General features: G+C 46.2%; 1 long non-coding RNA gene across 1 annotated transcript, besides 1 other annotated feature; it reads right to left on the reverse strand.

Moving 5' to 3' along the window:
- Positions 8019-8202: a silencer, noted in NCBI's record as "fragment chr14:96237254-96237437 (GRCh37/hg19 assembly coordinates)". NCBI's record gives its function as "represses an EF-1alpha promoter that drives an FKBP-Casp9 reporter gene in an ReSE screen in K562 erythroleukemia cells {active_cell/tissue: K562}" and the evidence as "EXISTENCE:reporter gene assay evidence [ECO:0000049][PMID:32094911]".
- Positions 8673-12056, reverse strand: LOC105370644 (uncharacterized). The gene is made up of 3 exons (XR_944178.2): positions 11968-12056; positions 11516-11838; positions 8673-8954 (listed from the first exon to the last, which is right to left on the reverse strand). It is a non-coding gene; the product is annotated as an uncharacterized LOC105370644 (long non-coding RNA).
- Positions 12057-18161: the final 6105 nt, after the last annotated feature.

Raw genomic sequence — 18161 nt, forward strand, 5'->3', positions numbered from 1 at the left:
TCTGTAATCCCAGCACTCTGGGAGGCCGACGTGGGCGGATCACCTGAGGTTGGGAGTTCGAGACCAGCCTGACCAACATGGAGAAACCCCGTCTCTACTAAAAATACAAAAAAAAAAAAAAAAAAAAATTAGCCAGACGTGATGGCACATGCCTGTAATCCAAGCTACTCAGGAGGCTGAGGTAGGAGAATCACTTGAACCTGGGAGGTGGAGGTTGTGGTGAGCCAAGATCGCACCATTGCACTCCAGCCTGGGCAACAAGAGTGAAACTCTGTCTAAAAAAAAAAAATACCTGAGAGTAATCATCAAAACTGTCAAGGTCATCAAAAACAGGGAAAGTTGGAGAAACCATCACAGCCAAGAGGAGCCTAAGGGGACGTGATAACTAAAGCCATGGGATATCCTGGATGGAATCTTGAAACTGAAAAAAAAAAAAAAATCCCACAACAGGTTAAAAACTAAGGAAATCCGAACAAAGTATGGATGTTAATAAATAATAAGTTATCACTATTGGTTCATTAACTGTGACAAATGTACCATACTAATGTAAGATGCTAAGAATAGGAAAAACTGGATGTGGAGGACATGGAAACTCTGTACTATCTTCACATTTTTTCCCTTTATATCCAATGCTATTCTAAAATAAAAAAGTTTGCTTTAAAAATTCCACTGACTGGGTTCCTTCAGTGGAGAGACAAACAGTTCTGTACTCTTTCTCAGAATCTATGTGTCTCCTTGTATTCTAAAATAACACATATTCATTTTGAAGTTTATAATTTTGAAAAAGTGACACTTTTGAACTAATTAGTTTCAGAGAGCAGGGATGAATGTAATACATTTAGAATGATGCTGAAGACTTCTTTAGCTCTCACAATGGTTAAAAAGTCATTGATGCTTAGCGATAATGTTGGTGTCTCTGTTCCAGCTATAACAAAAATACTTTAGACTAGATAATTTATATAGATTACTGAATTTTATTTCTCACAGTTCCAGAGGCTGGGAAGTCCAAGGTCAAGGCACCAGCAGATTCAGTGTCTGATGAAGGCTCTCTCTTTGCTTCCAAGATGGCGGCTCTTACTGCATCTTCACATGGCGGTAAGGGTGAAAAAGGGTTGCTTCCCTCACAGTAGTACAGAGAGTACTCTTTATACAGGCACCAGTCCCACTGTTAAGAGTGGAGCTGTCATGTCCTAATCACCTGTTAAAGGCCTCACTTTTTTATACTATTGCATTAGAGATTAAGTTTCAACATGAATTTGGAAGGGACACAAACATTCAAACCATAGCAACTGGCTTAGCACTGAAAGCGCAGGCTTGGCCTTTAGACAGACCTGGGTTTAAATCTCATCTACCAGCTGTGTGGCTTTGGATAAATCCACTCAATCTCTCAGGGCCTTGACTTCTCCACCAACAAAACGAGAATAAAGTATCTGCTTTGTATTCAATACTTTCCTGAGGATTAAATGAAATAAAATACATGAAGCACCTTGCAAAAGCTGCAAGGTTCCTGGCCCCTCATATGCACTACATAAATGACAACTTCCAAGAAAGTCATGTTCAAGTCAGCACCCTGCCTTGGATACGATTGGAGTTGTCTAGGTTACTTAAAATTTACCAGCGCACAAATCACCCAAGGATCTGGATAAAAGGCAGAGTCTGGTTCAACAGGTTGGGGGTTGGGGGTAGATGCCACATCTCTCACAGGTTTCCAGGCGATAGTGACGCGTAGCGACACTGCTGGACCGGGGCCCCTGCTGAGTAGGGAGGAACTCGGCTGTGGAGCTCGTTCTGACCAAAACCACATGGTGCTCTTGGGCAAGCGACCTTCCCTCGCTGAGGCTTACTCTCCCACCTGTAAAACAAAACAAAGAAATGCAAAATAAAAACAAGAACTATTTATTTTCCAAGAGCATAGATTTGTTTCTTGGTGTGATACGACTGGTCCACTCTGGGAGCCAGAAAGGCAACTGCAAGGTCCACTGCCTCTAGGGGTTTCTCAGGGGGTGACTCAGTTTCCTGCTTAACTCCCCTACTGCTTAAGGTTTATAAAGATCATAGTGCGGACCTCTAAAAGACTTAAGGGAAAACAAAAACCAAAACAAGAAAAACTTCTAATTTTACGGATAAAACTAAATGGAACAAACTGCATTATTTTCATCTGAATTCCTTTCCTCGTGGCTCATTTTGACACGGAGAAAATAAATTGCCATCTACCCCCCAAACCAGCTGCTTCCAGTCAGAGCGAATGGATCATGATTTAATGAAGACAGCCATCTGTTACAGGGTAAAATCCTAATTAAGCAATATATGAATCAGAACAAAATTAGCCATCAGGTCATTAGACTTCTGTAACTGCTGAAAGGAGCGTGGAGTCATTACCACGTGAGGCAGTCCTTCTCTAAGCACCAGACTGCGAGGAGAAACCCATCCCTCCCCTGGAATGCTGCAGCCCAAACAGGAGGGGTTGGAAGGTCCTGAGGCGCTAATTGAAATAAATAACCTGCTTTCAGAGAAGCCCTGGTGTCCTACGTAATGAATGTACCTCTCGTCTGTCCAACATGTCACAGTTTGACAGATGCTTTCGCACCTAGGAGGACCTGAACCCTCCTCTGCTAACCCCTTGTGTAGGTCTGATGGTGGGAGCTGTAGGTCCAGCGACTCGCTCAAGAGACCACAGCCGAAAAGGAGCCAAGGCAAGGCCAGCATCCAGGTGTGTGGCTTCCACATCCTGCCACCGACACTGCCTCCTCCTCGATGAATGTCCCCAAGGAGCGTGTGTTATCCCAAATTAATGAGAGACTCTAATGACTGAAGCTCTTGGCTCTGCAAGATTGGATGCCTCTCTGAAGCTTTCAGATGCTAGGGGGATGACTCTAGCACACTGCAAAGCTGCTGGAAGTGTTGTGCACCACTCTCTAGTTGGCCAGAGGACCAGCTGACTAAAAGACCCTGGCTGCCTTTCACTGCTGTTCCAGTAACGCTGATAGCTCTGCATCCTGCACATAGTAGGTACTCAATAACTAAATGTCGAATGGGTGAAGAATACGTGCACATAGTAGGTACTCAATAACTAAATGTCAAATGGGTGAAGAATACGCGAACAACCTTGACGAGTCCCTGCATCCCTCTTAACTAACCCTCAGGACTCTAGAGAAAAATATTTAGTTGTTCCCTCTTGTCTATAACATAAAGCTCTCAATATATCATCTTTATCAAAAGCCTTTAAATAGAGACAAGTTGTATCACTAGACAATGCCCTCTCCAAACCCACAGGCAAAGAGCAGAAAGCTTTCTGCTCCATCCCTTGCCAGCCCTGGGACTCTTCTATGGTCACAGCTTTGCTAGGGATAAATGGTAGCTCATCTTTATTTCAGCTTACATGTGGTTTGTTACTACAGAGGAGGGGAGGTGCATTTTCCTATATGTCTCCCTACTAATTATGCCCCTTTTTGGAAATTGTATCCTTTACTCATTTAGTTACAGAAAACTCAGTTTTTCTTATTTATGTGTTTGATTTTTTTTTTTTTTTTGAGACAGAGTCTCACTCTGTTGTCCAGGCTGGAGTACAGTAGCACAATCTCGGCTCACTGCAACCTCCACCTCCCAAGTTCAAGCAATTCTCCTGCCTCAGCTTCCCAAGTAGCTGGGATTACAGGCACGTGTCACCACGCCCAGTAATTTTTGTATTTTTAGTAGAGACAGGGTTTCGCCATGCTGGCCAGGCTGGTCTCGAACTCCTGACCTCAGGTGATCCTCCCACCTTGGCCTCCCAAAATGCTGAGATTACAGGTGTGAGCCACTGTGCCCGGCCATGAATTTTTTATATAATAAAAATATTAACTCTTTGCTGCAAATATTTTTCCTACTATTTTTCTCCTCTCCCCATCCCACCTCCAAGTGCAGAGACTTTAAAATTTGCTGACGTCCCTTCTGCCCATTGTTTTCCCTTGGGCTTGTTTCCAGTGATGCTGTGCTTAGCAAGTCTTTTCTCCCTCCAGATGTTTGATAGATATTCAAGTCTAATTCTTCTGGTGGTGTACGGATTGTCTCACACTTACCTAACCTCTGTCATCCACCTGGAATGTGTTTTGATATGTGATGTAAGAAGCTTTTCTCTTGGCTCCCTACTTCTTCATTCTCCACGTGACCGCAGAGTTCTACACAAGTGTAGGTTAAAGCTGGACACAGTTAGACGTTGCTGTGAGCCTGAGTGCATCCTGAGGTTTTTTCTCAGGTATGTTGATTGAAAGTGTCTAACATTAGACGGCCCCAGGAAAGGAAGTCTTAGTCATCTCAGCACAAGTGGAAGAAGAAACAAGATGAGGAGTTAACTGTGTTGTCTTTAGGTCCTAAACTTTTACTCATTATCGAAATTCAGATCCAGGGTCATTTTTCCTGGGAAGCCTTTCTTGTGATGCAGCCCCAGCCTGGGTTTGCTATCTGCTCTTTGGGCCCCACAGTGTTCTTGTCTTACCTGCCTATGAGTACCCACAAGGGATGGCTGCTATCGACTTGGCTGATTCTGCTTTGTTCCCCTCAGGGAAGGGACCTTGACTTCTCATTGATTTGCTATTGTTTCTCCAGCCCCTAGCACAGCCCTTGCTCATAGCAGGCCCTCAGTAAATACATGTCTAATCCATGTCCAAACTCATGAATAAGTGGCACCTGAGACGTCCCCCTGGCCACCCATCATGCATGGTAAGCATCCTCTGACGCTGTCTCATGAACACTCACACCAACTAGGAGGGCACTGATAACTATTGCATTTACCCACCAGGAAACCGAGGCTCAGAGATGTAAGGAACTTGTCTGCCGTTTCTCAGGGCTTTAGTTTATGATGATTCTGCACATCCTCACATTATTCAGAACCTGCTTGTTCAGTTGAGGACATTGAGGCCCAGGGAGAGGCACAAAGTCACACTGTCAACATGCTCTTAGGCAGACTCATACTGCATATGGAACTGGGATGCTTCAGGGATCCCAAAACCCTCGTCTCTCTCCTGCTGGGCTTCTAGTGGGCCATGCCCATGGTCTTGCCTGTGATTGGTTCTCAGAAAATAACGATTAAGTTACACTGATTTGAACCATGATACCAACACCTACTAGTGTGTCTATGAAACTTTCCACTCTTCCAAAACATTCTTGCTCTTACTGTCTTGGATCCATTCATTCTGTCGTCCTTGGACATAGATAAAGTCCAAGGATATCAGCCAAGCATCTTGCAGGGCTGTTTAAATCACTAGATTCTCAACTGCAATTGCATGTGCAAAAGGAGAGGAAATTCCTGACCTTGAAAAATCTGTGTCCACATAATTAATTTTATGTGTCAACTTGATTGGGCCACAGGGTGCCCAGACCTTTGGTCAAATATTATCCTGAGTGCATCCGGGAGGATGTTTCTGGATAACATTTGAATCAGTAGACTTAGTAAAGCAGATAGGGGGTCCTCATCCAATCAACTGATGACCTGAAGAGATAAAAAAGTCTGATTAGGAGGAAACTCCTCCTGCCTGAGTGCTTGGACTGGGACCCTGGTCTTTTTTGCCTTTCTGACTTGAACTGAAACTCAGCTCTTCCTGGGTTTTGCACCTGCCTGTCTTCAGCCTGGAATGACACCATCAGTTCTCTTGATTCTCCAGCTTACCAACTGTAGATCTTGGGACTTCTCAGCCTCTGGACGCATGTGAACTGATTCCTCATAATATTTACACACATATATGTCCTGTTCTGTTTCTCTGGAGAACCCTGACTAATATGTCCATAGAAGGAGATGGTGTCTCCAGTATCAATTAGAGGAACATGTGCTTCTCAGGTGACACCTGACTCCCTGTGCTCCATGATTGCGGTTTACAAAGCGTATCCATGGACATGAAGTTTAATTTACACAAAAAGCTTAGGAAGAAGGAATTGGTATTCTCACATTTACAGATGGGGACATTGAGGCCCAGAAAGCTAAGTTACTTGCCCCTGACTGCATCCATTTTCTAACTCCAGTTCTTTCTGTGCTCTCTTATGGGGTGTGAGCTGGATTCATTGTCTTCCTCACGTGTGGCAGAGCCTCTGGGGAACACAGCCACATCAAGGGTCTTGGTTCAAAAACTGTCCCAAGATGTAGAAGTCTGGTTTTGTACCTGATCCAATGGACGCAGTTCAGCAGGATAGAAAGTTAGGAAACAGTAACCAGAAGGTTGTGGACTGGCTTCAGGGATGCAAAGGTCCTGGGTGACAACATGGCTCAGGATGCAGCTGAACTTGGCTGCTGAGCTAGAGGAGAGTGAAGATCATTCAGCATGGTAGACATGCAAGAGACTGTGGTAGGAAGGGAGAAAGAAATAGGGAATGGTAGGGATGGTAGTGAACAAGAGGGCATGCATGCTCAAAGACATCTTGCCGAGACCAGCTCAGTCCGCATTAGGGAGAGACCCTAACGCAGCGGCGCTAGAGGAATTAAAGACACACACACAGAAGTATAGAGGTGTGATGTGGGAAATCAGGGGTCTCACAGCCTTCAGAGCTGAGAGCCCCGAACAGAGATTTCCCCACATATTTATTAACAGCAAACCAGTCATTAGCATTGTGTCTATAGATATTAAATTAACTAAAAGTATCCCTTAAGGGAAACGAAGGGATGGGCCGAATTAATTGCAGCAGGAGCATGTCCTTAAGACACAGATCACTCAGGCTTTTGTTTGTGGCTTAAGAATGCCTTTCAGCGGTTTTCCACCCTGGGTGGGCCAGATGTTCCTTGCCCTCATTCCCGTAAACCCACAACCTTCCAGCCTGAGCGTTATGGCCATTATGGACATGTTGCATTGCTGCAGAGATTTTATTTATGGCCAGTTTTGGGGCCAGTTTATGGCCAGACTTTGGGGAGCTTGCTCCCAACAACATCCACCTTATTTTATGGAATGAATGCTTGTGTATTAGTCTGTTTTTATACTGCAATAAAAAACTTCTCTGAGACTGGGTAATTTATAAAGAAAGGAGGTTTAATTGACTCAGTTCTGCATGATTGGGGAGGCCTCCAGAAACTTACAATCACAGAGGCAGGTGAAGGAGAAGCAAGTATCTCCTTCACAAGGCAGCAGGAAAGAGAGAGGGAGTGAAGGGGGAAGAGCCTCTAATAAAACCATCAGATCTCATGAGAACTCACTCACTATCACGAGAATAGCATGGAGAAACTGCCCCCATGATCCAGTCACCTCCCACCAGGTCCCTCCCTCGACACGTGGGGAGTGTGGGGATTACAATTCGAGATGAGATTTGGGTGTGGATGCAGAGCCAAACCATATCAGCTTGCATCCCCCCAGAATTCACAGGGCAAAGCCCTGGCCCCCAGTGTGTCTCTATTTGGAAATAGATCCTCTAAGGAAGTAATTAAGGTTAAACAAGGTCATGGGTTGGGGGCCCTAATCTAATAGGATTAGTATCTTTATAAGAAGAGACAGAGCTCATTTATTTTCCCTGTCTCTCTCTCTCTCTCTCTCTCTCTCTCTCTCTCTCTCTCTCTCTCTCTCCCTCCCCCTCCCTCTCCCTCTCCCTCTCCCTCTCCTATTCCTGCGTCCCCTGCATGCACACAGAGAAAAGGCCATGTGAGGACACAGCAAGAAGATGGCCATCTGCAAACTAGAGAGAGCACCCTCAGCAGAAACCAATCCTACTGTCACCCTGGCCTCAGACTTACATCCTCCAGGACTATGAGAAAATAAATCTCTTGCTTAAGCCACTCAATCTGGACTATTTTGTTATGGCAGCCTGAGCTGGCTAATACACATTCCTATTTAAAAACAAATAAATAATGTGTGCAGGGCTGATTCAGCCAGTGGCAGGTTTGCAGCCTGTAATACTCAAAGGCATTCATAGTGCAGCGTTCAGGTGCCAGAGTGCTCTGTAAATAAAGAAGAATGTCTGGGGTTTTGGAGACAACGGCAGGAAGGAACAGCATAGGACTATCTGGCCTGAGGATGTGATCCTGAAAGAACGGGCTTTGTATGTGAAGCTGAAGAAATAATGGTCTAGGAGGAGCAGTGGGGATTAAGAAGAATTTCAGCCTGTGTCTGTCCCTCATGTGAGAAGAAGCCTGTCAGGAAGTGGCACCCTTGGAAGACAGCCAAGCCTCAGCAGGGAGGATGAAGAGAGCTGAATGAGAGGTTCAGGATAGAGAGGTGATATGGTTTGGCTGTGTCCCCACCCAAATCTCATCTTGAATTGTAGCTCCCACAATTCCCACGTGTTGTGGGAGGGACCTGGTGGGAGATCATTGAATCATGGGGCCAGTTTCCCCCATACTGTTCTCGTGGTAGTGAATAAGGCTCATGAGATCTGATGGGTTTATAAGGGGTTTCCACTTTTGTTTGGCTCTCACTCTCTCTTGTCTGCCACCTTGTAAGCTGTGCCTTTCATCTTCCACCAGGATTGTGAGTCTTCCCCAGCCACGTGGAACTGTGAGTCCATTAAACCTCTTTTTCTTTATAAATTACCCAGTTTCAGATATGTCTTTATTAGCAGCATGAGAGCAGAGGGCATTCCTGCTCTACAGCTGGGATTCTGGAATGCACAGTGGGGAAGGGGGCAGGTAGGAGAGCAGAGGAAATTTGGGTCAGGGAGCAACATGAGGTGGTAGAAAAAACTGGGTGCCTGGAGGGGTTTCCACTGGGGATGGTGACCAAGCAGGCAGGGCTGAGAGGCATGGAGAACTGACCTGAGCCCGCGGTGAGTAGGTGATCCTACACCAGGGAGGGGCAGCTTCTCCTCCTCCACTTCTGGAACAGCAATCAGATAGAAGGCCACATTAGGGTCTGGGCCAGGATGGTGTAGGAGGTGGCAGAGTGAACCCAGTGGCAATGCAGGCCTCAAATCCCATCTCTGTAGCACCGATCAGACTCAGGAAGGCCTACGGCTGTGATGGGTCAGGCGTCTGGAGAAAGCAACTCGATTCTAAGGTGCCACCTGGTCTGGGTGAAAGAGAGCAGGTCTGGGTTGGGGAGAGGCAGACTGGAGAGTGGGGCTTGCAGAAGGCAGAGCCCTGATGAACCAGCACCCGAATGAATGGATTCCAGAAAAGAGCTCTAGTTTTATTATTGCTGTCAGTGATTTCCATTTTCATATGTTAATCCCCAATTATGAAACACTTAAAACACACATAGAAAAGTAATTTAATAGCATATTCTCTTTGTCGAAAAACGTTGCAGATGTTATAAAACCTTTGCCTCCGTCTCCCCAGAGGTTGCCTCTGTATCGAAGTTGGCATACAGTCTTCCTGCCCAGACTTTCATGGTTTAAGGATAAATACCTAAACAATTTACAGCACTGTCTTACGTATTTTTAAATGCACGTACATAGTTTCAAACTGCATATACCCTTATAAGTTTTTAAAATCAATGTGCACATACAAATAACCACTGGCAGGCCCAGGGTTTTTTTTTTTTTGAGACGGATTCTCGCTCTGTCGCCCAGGCTGGAGTGCAGTGGCGCTATCTTGGCTCACTGCAAGCTCTGCCTCCCGGGTTCATGCCATTCTCCTGCCTCAGTCTCTCGAGTAGCTGGGACTGCAGGCGCCCGCCACCACGCCCGGCTAATTTTTTTTTTTTTGTATTTTTAATAGAGGCAGGGTTTCACCATGTTAGCCAGGATGGTCTCGATTTCCTGACCTCATGATCCGCCTGCCTCGGCCTCCCAAAGTGCTGGGATTACAGGCGTGAGCCACCGCACCCGGCCACCCAGGGGGTTTTATAGGTGAATGTTTACAGTATTGCAAGGACTAGGAAATCCCTCATTGATACCAGTCCTGCCAGTCTTGTCAATATAACATCGAGACCTGAGCAGTCTCCCAGGCTGTCCCCTTTGACATTAGAGATGTCTCCAATTACTGAAAAAGCAACGCTCAAGACCTGTCCCAACACAATCGCATTAGGTTAGTACGATTCCTGACTCGAGATCATTATCTAAGCTGTTTCCTCTTCCAGGAACACTTTTTCTGCCATCTGTATCTGGTGAACTTGCCTGTGAAGGACTGTGTCCCTTTCTCATAAATCTCCCTGTCTCCTCTGCTCTTGCCTCATGAGCAAAACGGAACCCTCCTGGGCATGGGGCTCCTGGGATGAGGAATAGAGAGCATTTCTTTCTGGGTTCTTTCCTTGGCATTACCAGGAGAACGTAGGTTCCACAAAGGCCACAGTGGTCCCATTTTCTGAAGGTCAGGGACAACTCCAGGAAAGTGTCTGACTTCGAGTTCTGCCTTTGGACACTTTGTTAGACACTTTGTTAACTGCAGAGTGCCTCAGCGGGACACCCGTCCAAGGTGAGTGGCATCTTCCCTTCTTAATTGCTTCCTGCAGGCTTTTCTTAACTAGGGCTGCAGACAGATACAGACAACAGCTTCTTGACACCGCATCAGACCCACTGAAGTAGTGGGTGACAGACAGACCCAGTTAGATCATGGTATTTTTAGACCCCAGCTTGCTGGAAACCTTTCCCCCTCAACCCCCAGTTGTGATGTGTTTCTGATAACCTCTGTTCACGCTGAAGGACTAAAGTGTCTATATCTGTGTGTGGAAAAAACAGAACATTGAACCCAAAGGAAGTTTCTAGGCCATCTTCTTCCACTCTCAGACATCTCAGGTGAGAAAACTGAGCTCAGAGAGGCCTCCTCCCACCAGCCACCTTCCATCCCAATTGCCTGCTTGGTCAACAGAGTGATCTTTCAAAATACAACACTGGCCCTGTCAGCTCCCTGCTTAAAATCCTTCAAAAGTTCTCTTTTGCCATCTGGATGAAGTAGGGCCTCTGCTCTCAGTACAAAAGGCCCTTATCTGGTCCGTGCATGAATACTTTGCACACTAACTGCCCTTAGTGCACTTCTTCAAGCAAGACGCACGCCTCCAAGCCTCCCTGCGTTTGCTCTTGCTGGTCCTCCTGCCAGGGACTCCATCCCTGCACCTGTTCATTCACCCATCCTTTCAGACAAAGCTTGAAGGCCACCTCTTCCTAGAGCTGTTTCCTGACCGCATCTCCTGGGATGAATTGGGTGCTCCTTCTCTGTGCCTCTGTGCCATTTGACACAGTCTGTATGATGGCTCTGGTGTTGAAATGTCTGTTTCATGCCTATCATACCCCTTTTATCTCTGAGCTCTCTAAGGACAAGGACTTGACTTTTCAACTCAAATATTCCTGTGCTTTTGGCATACTTCACACTCAGAAAAAGTTTGTCCAATAAATGAAATGAGTGGGTGAATGAATGAGGAAACCCCTTGTTCAAGGTTTTATACAGGTGAGCACAGAATCAGGATTTCCAGGCCAGTGTGAGTCCCACCATCTTTAATGCCTGATTAAAATATACGCTAACTCTGCCAATAAAATTATGCCATTGAATGCCTTACTGGGATTGTACCTACATCTTCGAAATACAGAAAAGGCTTTTTAGCCCTAACAAAGCTGTCTTACTGCCCCAGCTTGGCTGGGAGCTCAGCTGTGGAAAGTCGGCAGCTTCAACTGAGGCCATTAAACCGGGCATTACCTGAAGCCACGTGCCGGATAGCATCAGTCACTCAGCTGGTTTTCAAGCTTTAAGGACAGAAATCGCGTTATCTTTATGAACCTCAGAGCAGTGCACCCTCTGTTGGTCATATCTGGAATTGCACAGGGTCAAGGTTTGATCCTGTATTTGGTCCGGGACACAGCAGTTCTGTGAAATCATCCACTCGCTCACTCAATTCATTTTCTCGTTCATCCATCTTATAGACATCCATTGAGTGAGTTCCATATTCCCGCCATGGTACCACGGGTGGGTGTAAATGGTGAATGAGAAAGTCACAGCCCTCCATTAATGGTGTTGATAATCTGGCAGGGAAAGCAAAAATTCAACAATCTATTTCAAGAGTAGTGAGTGCTCTTCTAAGTGGAAATTCAGGATGCTAACAGGACACTAACAGGGAAATTCGGGACGCTAACAGGGCCTGGAGAGCTCACCTGGGCGGTGTGGGAAGGTGGGCGGCGAGGAAGAAGTAACGCCTATCCACCCCACCTCATACTCATCTAGCGGCTGTTACATGCCAGACATTGCGATGGTTCTGGGAGACAAAAACCAGAGTCTAGTGGCGGAAGGAGGGCAGGAGACCCCAAGGCAATTATGACAGCAGCGGCAACAAAACAACAGCTATTACGCATTGCGCAGCTTTAACTCATAAGACTCCTGTGCTGTAGATGTAGGTCTACACCGCGGACGTTGGTCTGTCTGCATGACGTAGATATTATGACCTTTTTTTTTTTTTTAAGACGGAGTTTTGCTCTTGTTACCCAGGCTGGAGTGCAACGGCACAATCTCAGCTCACTGCAACCTCCGCCTCCCAGGTTCAATCGATTCTCCTGCCTCAGCCTCCTGAGTAGCTGGGATTACAGGCATGAGCCACCATGCCTGGCTAATTTTTTGTATTTTCAGTAGAGATGGGGTTTCTCCATGTTGGTCAGGCTGGTCGCGAACTCCCAACCTTAGGTGATCCACCTGCCTCGGCCTCCCAAAGTGCTGGGATTACAGGCATGAGTCACCGCGCCCGGCCTATTATGGTCCTTTTTGAGGGGAAAGAAATTGAACCTCCTGGTTGATTCCACCACATTATGCCCCTCTCACTACATTATCCAGCCTCTCCAACCTGAGTAAGTTCAAAATAGAAGTACATCCGGGGCACGATCTTCACCAAACCCCATGCTCTGGGGACTGCCATGACTCTGCAGGTGAGAGACCCAAGACATGGTGAGGTCAAGAGCCTTGCGCCAGGTCCCCCAGCTGTCAGGAGAGAGCTGGTCTAGAGTGAATGGTCAGGAAAGAGAGCTGTGCAGTCTCACTACCTGACACTCGCCAGGTATGTTAGTTCGTTGTGGCATTGCTATAAAGAAATACCTGAGACTGGATAATGTATGAGAAAAGAGGTTTGGTTGGCTCATGGTTCTGCAGGCTGTACAGGAAGCATGGCAGCTTCTGCTTCTGGGGAGGCCTCAGGAAGTTTCCAATCATGGCAGAAGGCAAAGGTGGGGTAGGCACATCACATTGCGAAAGCAGGAGCAAGGGAGGTGAGGGAAGGTGCCACACGTATTTAAATAACCAGATCTCATGAGAACTCACTCACTGTCGCGAGGACAGTACCACAGGGGATGGTACTAAACTATTCATGAGAAATCTGCCCCGATGACCCAATCCCCTCCCACCAGGCCCTACCTTCAACATTGGGGGTTACATTTCAATATGAGATTTGGGTGGGGACACACATTCCAAATTATATCACCTGGCGTGTGACCTTTGGGCCAGTGACATTTTCTGTGCCTCAGTTTCTCCACTACCTACCTCATGAAATGGTCTTGAGGAAACAAAACAATACACTTTTAGAGTCTGGCACATTCAGCCTTCAATATGTGTTATTCATTATTATCATTACTAGCTCTTATAGGGGGGATATTTTTCCCCTACTCCTTATGTTTCCATGTGGAAGGACCTCCACTAGGGCGACACCCTTGGTCTCTTTCTGCCACACACTCTTCACCTTACTCACACCTTCCCAAGAAAGGTGGCAGCATTTACCGAACTGGTGAGCCTGGGAGAAGGAACTGGGCATGTTGGGATCAGCCCTTTCTGGGTCCTCTTTTAGAGCTGGGTAGGCACAGGTGTCTGATTCAGAGGTAAAATTTTAGGGACCCATGCAACTAAGCCACTTGCCCCAACCTTACTTTTTTCAACGGAGGTTTTGTCTCCCCCGTCTGCCTGATGCCTCTGCCCTTTTCCTGTCATTTATCCTGAACATGGGTGGGGAAGAGAAACTCCAACATTAGCCAGAAGTGATACCCAGTTTCCTTTCTGCAATTTCTCATTGTGCTTTTGCTGCTTCTAAGGGTTTTGTGTCTCTGGGGTAGAAAAGGAAGAAAACCTTTTTCAGGCTGAAGATCTACAGAAGTCTGGACTTGGACTTAGAGTAGACCTTGAGAGCCTGGACATGACTGGCAGTAAACAGCCCAAGGCTGTAATTCCTCAGAGGATGGAACTGGGATCCCAGAAAGGCAGGTGGTGAAGAGTGAAGCTGAATGCAGCTCACAGATCCTGCCTGCCAGGCCGGGCCTTTCCCCAGAGGTGCTTCCCTCGACCACCTGGGGGGCTGCAGGCTTTCCTTGGCTTTAATTGGTGGATGGCTCACCTGGCGTCAGACATTCAAACAATTATTAGGTAATTAATGAGAAAGGGGTACTAGTTGTGAGAATGAGTAAGATGGGGAAGGCAGGGGCCTCAGTCTCCAGGGGTCCAGCTCCCCCAGCCCAGGCCCTGGTGTGCAGGGCACAGCCTTGCCTGCTGTGCACAAAAGGAGGTAAGGCCCTCATTGCTATTCAAGCTGTGTTCCTCTCAGTCTCTCATGATGAAATCCCTGTATAGAAAGCGAAATGGATCTCTGGCTGATCTGAGGCTCCCAGCCCAGGCCTACCTTGCACCTGACACCAGTCTCAGGGAGTGTGTGGGTGGCACGGCTGCTCTCCTGACAGAAGAGCCCTCCTGAGTCTGGCCCCCATCTACTCTCCAGCTGCTTGCCTGGGCCCTGTGCTCCTGCCCACTGCACAGCAGACGTGGGCACCACCAGGGCTCTGCCGCTTTGCTATGCTCTTCTCTCTGTCTGGAGTGCCCTTCCTCCCCCTGGGCCTGGAGAACTTAGAATTCACCACCAAGGCTCAATGCAAATGTCATCTTTTTTATAAAAACATTTCTATCCTTCCTTTGTGGTTCTCCAGCAAGCCTCTAGTATAACAGTTTTCATTTCGTTGAAGACTCTAAGGCTCCTGACCCTATTTAGCTACAAGTGTGTTTTGTTTGGCCAGCATTGTGATTTTAGAAAACTTAAAAGTAGGTAGAGCTTGTACACTCCAGTTCACCACAGAACCACCACTGCCCTGTTGTATTACACCATGCCTATCAGGTATTTTGATTTTTCGCCTTGACCCTGAAGGCTTTTGAGTTTGCATCCCTGTTGAAGAGCCTGGCTCCAGAAGATACAGTTTTGAAGGAGGTTGTTCATAGAGGTATACTCCTGTATATTAGGGTTCTCCACAGGAAGAGAACCAACATGGATATGTATTAGAAAAGAAGTGTGTGTGTGTATATATATATGTGTGTGTGTATGCATATTGTGTGTATATATATACACATATATATGAATTAGATAACTAATGGGAATTTATATTTATATATACATATATACATGAGTTAGGTAATTAATGGGAATATATATATATGTGTGCATATATATATGTGTGCATATATATATACACACATACATACATGGCTCACATGATTATGGAGGGACAAGACCCAAGATCTTAAATTGGCAAACTGGAGACCCAGGAGAGCTGATGGTGTAGTTCCAGTCTGAATCGGAAGGCCTGGAAACCAGGAGGGCTGATGAGTCCAAAGACCTGTAGGCTTAAGACCAGGAAGAGTCAATACTTCAGTTTGAGTTCAAAGACAGGAAAAACACAATGTCTTAACTCTAAGGAAGTCAGGCAGGAGGAGCTCCCTCTTACTCTCAGGCACGTCAGCCCTTTGGTTCTATTCAGGCCTTTGACTGGTTGGATGAGGCCCACCATATTGGGAGGGCAATCTAGTATACTCCATCTACCAATTCAATTGCTGTTGTCATCCAGAGACACACTTACAAACACACCCAGAACAAACACACCCAGAATAATGTTCAACCAATGTCTGGACACCCGGTGGACCAATCATGTTGACACATAAAATTAACTGTCACATCCCCTGAGATTCCTGATATGGTTTTGCTGTGTACCCCCCCCAAAAAATATCATCCTGAATTGTAATCCTCATAATCCCCTCATGGCAAGGGCGGGACCAGGTGGAGGTAATCAGATCATGGGGGCAGTTTTTCCCATGCTGTTCTTGTGACAGTGAGTGAGTCCCATGAGATCTCATGGTTTTATGTGTCTGGCATTTCCCCTGCTTGCACTCACTCCATCCTGCCACCCTGTGAAGAAGGTGCCTGCTTCTCCTTTGCCTTCTGCCATGATTGTAAGTTTCCTGAGGCCTCCCCAACAATGTGGAACTGTGAGTCAATTAAACCTCTTTCCTTTATAAATTACCCAGTCTTGGGTATTTCTTCATAGCAGTGTGAAAAAGGACTAATACAATTCCCATCTCCTGGTTATTCAAGCAAACATGAGTCTAGGTATTGTTGTGAGGGAATTTTGCAGATGTAAATGAGATTAGAAATTTGAAGACAGGGAGATTATTCTGAAGACAGGGAGATTATTCTTTCCCAAGCTAACCACATGAGCCCATAAAAGCAGAGAACCTTCTCTGGCTGGAGACACAGGTGCAGCAGAAAGAGAAGAGAGAGCCTAGGCCTGAGGACTTGGCACATCGTGGCTGGTTCTGAGGTGCAAGTGGCCACCACATGCAAGGCCTGGGGAGAGGCCTGTGGGAGCTGAGGGAGACCCCCAGTCATGGTCAACAAAGAAATGGGGCCTCAGTTCTACCACAGCAAAGGAACTGAGTCAGGTCAACAACCTGAATAAGTGCAGTAGTGGGTTCTTCCCCAGGGACTCCAGTAAGGAATGCAGCCCTGATGGCCCTTGATTTTAGCTCAGTGTTAGATTTCTAACCAGCAGAAATTGTGAGATAATAAATTTGTGTTATTTTAAGTTGCTCTGTGGTAATTTGTTACGAAAATAGAAAATGGATACAGGGAAAGTCCATGCCTTTTTCGTTTTTAGCTTCCCTCCCACCTTCTCAAAGTCTGGCACATAGTAGGTGCTTGCCATGTGTTTGCCAACTGACTGAGAGGCAAATCACAAGGGATGAAACTTAGCCCTGCTTCCCCTCAGAGAACAGACCTTATGATTTCTATTTCTGACTGTATGTGCGGCTCAGGATAGGAGAAGCTGATTGACAGCAAGTTGACGGACAGCCCAATTTAAATCTCCAGTCAGGAAAAACTTGGGTGAATCATTGTTTTCTGCAAAAAATGACACTTCAGTATGTATGTTCCATAATTTGTGGAGATGGGTTCCAGTTTAAAGAGTTCCTTAGTGAAGAAAAAAAAACCATGATTTATCTTCCTAAAGCTTTCTTTTTCTTCTCCTGATGATGACAAATGTCTGCAGCCCCCTCAGGGGATGATGGGATGAAACGCACACCATTGGTCATTGTGACAGAACAGCCTGGACCCCCCAGAAACTTATGGTTTAGGAAGAATGGCATGATGCCCACAAGCAACTGTAGCACAGCACAGAGATGCTGTAGGATGGAGAACAGCAGAGCAGGGAGCACGGGACAGCAGAGAACATCCTGAAACAGGAGACAGAAAACCTGGTGTCCACTCCTCTCTTTGTTGCATAACCTGAGTCTCAGTTCCCTTTTTAAATGAACCTCCTCTGTTTCTTTCAAGCTCTGGGATCAGAAAATATTACCTATGCCAAAGAGTTCTGACCTTGACTCTACTGAGGCCCCAGGAAGGCTCAATCTGACAATATGGTACCTATTCATATGTTATTTTAGCCATAACAGCATGTATGCATGTATATTGGAATATTACAAACATGAATTATAAGCTAAAAAAAATTCAAGAATAGGCCGGGCATGGTGGCTCACGCCTGTAATCCTAGAACTTTGGGAGGCCAAGGCGGGTGGATCACGAAGTCAGGAGATCGAGACCATCCTGGCTAACATGGTGAAACCCTGTCTCTACTAAAAATACAAAAAATTAGCTGGGCATGGTGGCGGGCACCTGTAGTCCCAGCTACTTGGGAGGCTGAGGCAGGAGAATGGCGTGAACCTGGGAGGTGGAGCTTGCGGTGAGCCGAGATCGCGCCACTGCACTCTAGCCTGGGCGACAGAGCAAGACTCCATCTCAAAACAAAACAAAAACAAAAACAACAACAAGAACAAAAATTCAAGAATACAGAAACATCAATAGATATTTCCCTATCACCTCCAAAATCTAACTGGAAAAGACTCTACACATCAACCAGCCAGTGGTTTTCTAACAACAACATTTAATGTTGAGAAACCCCTTCATCCGGTCATCACCCAGCAGCATTCCCACAAGCACTGAGGAAGAAATGCCTCAAGCTCTGAGGGGCACACTCTGAAAATCTCTGGTGTAGCCTATTTTGAAGAG

The sequence above is a fragment of the Homo sapiens genome, chromosome 14 (genome assembly GCF_000001405.40).
Source record: "Homo sapiens chromosome 14, GRCh38.p14 Primary Assembly".
In the NCBI taxonomy this organism is placed as follows: Eukaryota; Metazoa; Chordata; class Mammalia; order Primates; family Hominidae; genus Homo; species Homo sapiens.